The sequence below is a fragment of the Homo sapiens genome, chromosome 1, assembly GCF_000001405.40.
Source record: "Homo sapiens chromosome 1, GRCh38.p14 Primary Assembly".
NCBI classification, from domain to species: domain Eukaryota; kingdom Metazoa; phylum Chordata; class Mammalia; order Primates; family Hominidae; genus Homo; species Homo sapiens.
Genome location: NC_000001.11, coordinates 117775473 through 117782162, shown reverse-complemented (window position 1 = coordinate 117782162; position 6690 = coordinate 117775473). Strand labels below are relative to the sequence as shown.

At 38.3% G+C, this 6690-nt stretch overlaps 1 pseudogene; it reads left to right on the top strand.

The window, feature by feature from the left end:
* PNRC2P1 (proline rich nuclear receptor coactivator 2 pseudogene 1) lies at positions 3262–5640 on the top strand (annotated as a pseudogene).

Sequence of the window (6690 nt, the reverse complement as noted above, 5' to 3'; positions counted from 1 at the left end):
AGGAGACTACTGAGATTACACCAGGAACTCAGACAATGTGGAAGAATGATGTCGTATGATATGTGGACTTCATGACACATGATGTCTTTTTTGATCTCTCTATGGCTTTTCTGCTTATTTCTATTTTTGGGGAGTGGTGGCAGGGATTTTGGGGTTTTTTGGTTTGTTTTTTACTATATTCTAGATATCTGAGAGACTACATAAATGTCTTCTAGATAACTAGAGTTACTATTAATATCATCATTAAAATTATCGTTTTTCTTTTTATCTGAGTGAGGTTTAAAAATTACAAAAAAGCAACCTAGCTAATTAACTGGGGACATGGATTTAAGCAACACCACCTCCAGATTTAGGTTAAGCAGCACCTTTGTTATGCTCAGATCTGCCACCAAGAAGGTGGGGCCTTGAGCATTACCACCCTGGGAGAAAGTATAAAGCATTTGAAAAATTATTGGAGAATTTAGAAGAGATTTGAAAATCAAGGTTAGAGAGGAAGAAGATGCCATAAATATGGTGTTAATGTTCAAAAAGGAAAGCAAAAGAAAGCTAATTGTGGAACTTACTGGCTAGTAAATTAGATAGTCACAGTAATAAAACAGATGTTAACAGTGAAAATCCATCGCCATCTGGAAAGGGTAATGTCACAGAGGATTTATGGAAAGAAGTGAGTTCAAGCAACTCGGCAGAGGAGAAAAACAGCGAGGCCAGGTTTTTAGTAAATGGTTTGGAACTTGGGTAAAAAATTTTGCTCACCCTGCCATGCCATTTCTCCTCTAAGGCCAGCTCAAATTGCCTTGGATGAGAATGTGGTCACATGGACTCAACAACTGGCTGGGAAGATCATAAATAAAGAATAATGATATACATACCCAGAAACAGCTCCAGTGAGTGGAGTTGGGGGAGGGGGCTAAGTGCACTTCCCCAGAGAGCGGGGTCAGGTCTGGTTTCATTTAACATCTTTGCTAATGATTTGAAAGCAGGAACAAACAAATGTCAAGAAAATGCACAAAGCACATCAACTAGAGACAAGGCACACATCAACTAGGAATGTTACGGAACAGGACTGAGGCAGTTATGAAAGGGAGCTGGAAATAACCTAGGTCAAAGCAGCCTAGGAGAATAATCTGCCATGGTTTGAATGTTCCTCCCAAAACTCATGTTGAAATTTAATTGCCGTTGTGACAGTATTAAGAGGTGGGACTTTTAAGAAATGATGAGGTCATGAGGGCTTTTCCTTCTTGAATGGGTTTATGCCATTATTGTGGGAGTGAGTTTTTTATTCCAGGCATTCGGCCACCTTTTGCTCTGTCTTGCATGCACAGCTCCTCATCATGTGATGCCCTCCACCATGTTATGATGCAGCAAGAAGGTCCTCACCAAATGCAGTCCCTCAATCTGGGACTTCCCAGCCTCCAGATCCATGAGCCAAATAAATCTCTTTTCTTTATAAATTATCTAGTCTGCAGTATTCTGTTATGACAACAGCAAGTGAACTAAGACACAATATTAAATTAAAAAACAGTCACTCTTCAAGGTTGTGTGGAGAAGGGGTGATAGCTGGAGGGGAAGAGTAGGAAATAAGGGTGGCCAAGAGCTGCCCCAGGGACAAATAATGTTTAATAGCATAGCATGGTAATGAGGAAGTCCAACAGAACAGAGGTCCAGTTTTGTACGTATGTGGCTGTGGTTCAATAAATGTGAAATGATAACTGTCCCATTTATTCAGGGTCAGAGGGAGAAGAAAAAATGGTAGGAGTGTTCAGATTGGATTTTAGACGTTTAACCTGAACATTCAGACCAAAGGGTGTGCATCTGTGCACTCTTGTGTCAGACTTCTAGAATATTTGAAGTCCCATCACCTAGCACAGTACTTAACACATAGTAGGTGCTCAGTGATTGTGAGAGAAATGCAGGAAGTATATCTGTGATCATCGAGTGATAATGGAGTGAGCGTTGCAGCCAAGGGTTTTTGCATCCTTGAGATTTGGGGGTCTCTGTGATTAAAAGAAAAAGAACCAGGAGCCACTAGGTGTTTAAGCAAATAGTGACAACCGCCCCAGCTTCTGCTCTGGGGCCCTACCTGCCCCATCTCTGCCTGTGAAAATGGAATTGTGGTGTGTCTGCAACCCCTCTGGCTCTGCCACCCGTGCTCCTGGCCTTGCCTAAGTGACTAGTCACCTATGATCAAACAGTACTGTCTTGTGCTCTGTACCTGCCCCACAATATTCTGGCTCTATCCAGGACCCCGCTTGGATTCATGAATGGTATCTTTATTTTCCCTAACTCTGAGTCAGCAGCTCAGAGGAGAGGCCCAAGCTTCTTGTCCCACCATCACCAAATGCAACACCACTGAATCCCCCTGTACCTCAAAATCCACTGTGCCTCTAGACTGTCTAGAGTAGGGCTTCTTAAACTTTAAAGTGCATAAAATCTCCTGGGCAGGGAGACTCTGAATTTCTAACAAATTCCCAGGTAATGCCAGTGTTTTCTGTTATAATACATTTGTTTGCATTTTCTAGAATTGTATATAAATGGAATCATATAGTATGCACGATTTTATTTGCCTGGCTTCTCTTACTCAGCATAATTATTTTAAATTCATCCATATTTTTGCATACATCAATAGTTCATGCTTTTTTATTGCTGAGTAGTATACAATTTGTTCCCCATTCACCTGTTAATGGAGATTTTAGTTGTTTCTAGTTTTTGACTGTTACAAATAATGCTGTTATACATTTGTGTGTACGTTTTTGTACAGCTATATGTTTTGATTTCTCTTGGGTAAATACCTAGGAGTAGAAAGGCTAGAAGTTCTGTAGGCATCTATTTAAATCTTTAAGAAACTGACAAAATGTTTTCCAAAGTGTACCATTTTACATTCCAACCAGAAATATATGAAAGTTCCAGTTCCTCCACATTTTCATTAACACTTGATATGGCCAGATGTGTAAATTTTAGCCATTCTAATAGAAGAGTAATTATCTCTTATTGTGGTTTTAATTGCATTTCTCTAATGATTAATGATATTAAACATATTTTCATATACTTATATGCCATCTGAATATCTTCTTCAGTAACGTGTCTGCTCAAATCTTCCACCCATTTTTTTTTCTTGTTATTACTGAGTTTTCAGAGTGCTTCATTACATCCTGGATCAAGTGTTTTCTTAGATAGAAGATTTACAGATATTTTCTCCCACTTGATGATTATCTTCTCATTCTCTTGAAAGTGTCTTTTAAAAAGTAAATTTCTGTCCATTTTGTCGGTAGAGGCAGAAGGAGAAGGTCGGATTGTAGAAGCTGGGGTGGCCGGCAGCTCGCTCATCGGTGTTCGTGGGCTTTGTCGGTCCGTGCCTCGTCTCTCCCTGGAAAGGGAGGGAGGCTTCAACGTCGAGAGGGAGCCGCTGCCGCGTTAGTTCCGAGCTTGAAGTCACTAGGACTTCTCTCAAACTTGAGTGCTGAGGAGACTCAGATGTTGGCCTCAGCTCCTAGGCTGAACTCAGCAGATCGGCCCATGAAAACTTCTGTATTGAGACAAAGGAAGGGATCTGTCAGAAAGCAACACTTGTTATCTTGGGCTTGGCAGCAAGGAAGAGGACAGGTAGTGGAGATCCTGCAATCTGAAAAGCAGACTGAAAGGTGACAAAGAAGCTGAAGATGGGTGGTAGAGAGAGGTATAACATTCCAGCCCCTCAATCTAGAAATGTTAGTAAGAACCAACAACAGCTTAACAGACAGAAGACCAAGGAACAGAATTCCCAGATGAAGATTGTTCATAAGAAAAAAGAAAGAGGACATGGTTATAACTCATCAGCAGGTGCCTGGCAGGCCATGAAAAATGGGGGGAAGAACAAAAATTTTCCAAATAATCAAAGTTGGAATTCTAGCTTATCAGGTCCCAGCTTACTTTTTAAATCTCAAGCTAAACAGAACTATGCTGGTGCCAAATTTAGTGAGCCGCCATCACCAAGTGTTCTTCCCAAACCACCAAGCCACTGGGTCCCTGTTTCCTTTAATCCTTCAGATAAGGAAATAATGACATTTCAACTTAAAACCTTACTTAAAGTACAGGTATAAAATAAGACAAATGTTTAAGTTTAGTTATGTTCACAGATAGTTGTCAATTGGTCTGAAACAAATTTGCTAGGGAATCTATTTGTGTAGAACTAATTAATGTAAAAAAAATAGACTTCATCTCGTGTTGTGTGCACTGTGATATAATGGTAGTATCAGTGCAACTTAAACTAATGATTGTAATTGATATTAAGTGTTCTCAACTGAGTAACTTTTAAGTGGAAACCAAGTTTAGATTTGGGGAGTGGTAAAGGAATCAGCTTTTTCTATTGTTAGGGGAAGATAGTAATTTATCATTCATGGACCAGTAGATTGTTGAAAGTTGGTGAATCGGATTATAAGCTTCTGGCTAACACAAGGATTCAGAATTAGGTAAACATCTGAAGGTTTAGTATATTAGAAACACCCAAACCAGTAATATGCTAACCTGATGCACTGCTGAAAGAAAATGTGAATTTTTCGTAATAATTGCATTTTAGTGAATTGTACAGTGGGTGGAAAGGGCATTTGGAGCTCATTAGAATGAGACATAGTACACCCCAATGGCCCTGTTTATTAAATGTAGTGGATTAAGTGTCTGTCAACAAATACACCAAAACCATTTTTTATAGAAACAGTATTTAATGGTCACTCAATAGCTTTCAAAATACATTTTTGTATTACAGCACTGCACAAGCTATTCTAATAGTGATCTGGCCTCCTCATTCCTGCCAAGCTTGCTTTGGGGAGTTGGATAATGTGAAAATTTTAAGTACCTAGGGGAGAAAGAGCCATGTAAATATCTGTAATAAACTTGTAGCATATGTAAAGTTTTCTTGGCCTTTATCTTACAAAAATGGAATATTTTAGTATGAATTTGCTGAATGTAAGACCGTGGACTGTTTTTTATAATATGGCCTAATTTTAAAGGTCCAAAATAACTTGTTTTTAAAGTTTGCCCTTGTGCTAAAGTGCCAGTGTATGTATGTTATACTTGATTTGGTTGTAAACTATATTTCAAAGTAAACCCTAGTGTAATAAGTTTTATAACTAAAAAGGTTTAAGCTGCTAAAACTATTTTTAAGAGATGTGAAATGCAGTATGGGACTATCTTTTTTTCCTCCTCTAAGCCCAAAGATTAACTAGAGTCCCTCCAACCTTATAGATTTTTGGCTTTCACAATCTTATAACCTAGGATACAGGTAGTTTCGAGTATGGTGCCAGTGATGTTTTGTTTTTGTTTGGTCAAGGGGTAGGTGCAACCCAATGGACCACTTATGCAAAAGATGTAAACTCTTGCATAATACATCGATAACATGTTTTGCCAACTTTAAATGCTTAAACATAAGCGAAACCAGTAGCAAGTATGTGGGTCAGTTTAAAAATTTTGATTGTTAATGCCCTATTTTCTAATTTGGCACCTCTTTTGATGCCTAAGCAGGTAAGCAGATGCCTAAGCTGTATTTCTCCAAATAAATCAAGAGGAAGTACTGCCCAAGTTAAATATTGATAGCCTAAAGACAAATTCATGTAGTACTTAATGTACATGATATGAATTTGAAGCATAAAATTAAATTTTTCCCCATTGAAAAAAAAAAAAGTAAATTTCTAATTTTGATGAAGCCCAGTTAATCAATTATTTCTTTTCTTTTAGCATTCTATCTAAAAAATCTTTGCCTAACTCAAGATCACAAAGACTTTCTCTTATGTTTTCTTAATTTTTGTACACAGTATTAGGTATTAATGTTCATTTTTTTGGCATATGAATATCCAACTATTCCAACATCATCTGTTGAAAAGACTGTCCTTTCTCTACTGAATCCCTATCTTTGTTGAAACTCAATTGATGATATGCATGTGAGTCTATTTCTGCACTCTTTATTCTTCTTTTCACTGATCTATCTTGACATCAATATCATACTATTTTGATTACTATAACTTTTTTTTTTTTGAGGTGGAGTCTCACTCTGTCGCCCACGCTGGAGTGCAATGGCGCAATCTCACCTCACTACAACCTCTGACCCCAGGGCTCTAGTGATTCACCTACCTCAGCCTCCTGAGTAGCTGGGATTACAGATGCCCGCCACCAGGCCTGGCTAATTTTTTTCTACTTTTAGTAGAGACAGGGTTTCGCTATGCTGGCCAGGCTGATCTTGAACTCCCGACCTCAGGTGATCCACCCGCCTTGGCCTCCCAAAATGCTAGGATTACCGGCGTGAGGCAGCATGCTCAGCCTGATTACTACAACTTTATATTAAGTCTGCAAGTCAGGCAGTGTTAATCCTCCAACTGTGTCCTTCTTTTTCGAATATGTTTTTAGCTATTCCAGATGTTATGAATTTCTGAATAAATTTTAGAATCATCTTATCAATTACTACCAAAAAAGGCCTGCTGGGATTTTGATTGGGCTTTCTTTGATTCTATAGATTAATTTAGGGAAAATTGACATTTTAAGAATATTTCATCTTCTGATCCGTGAACAGTGTCTCTCTGCATTTATTTAGATCTTCTTAATTTCTCTCAGCAATGAAGATTAGGTATGGTAGATGCAGGCTATAAATCACAAATTGGAGGTTCATTCAAAAATACACACACACACACATTTTTAAATTTAATTTAATTTTAAGTTCTGGAATTC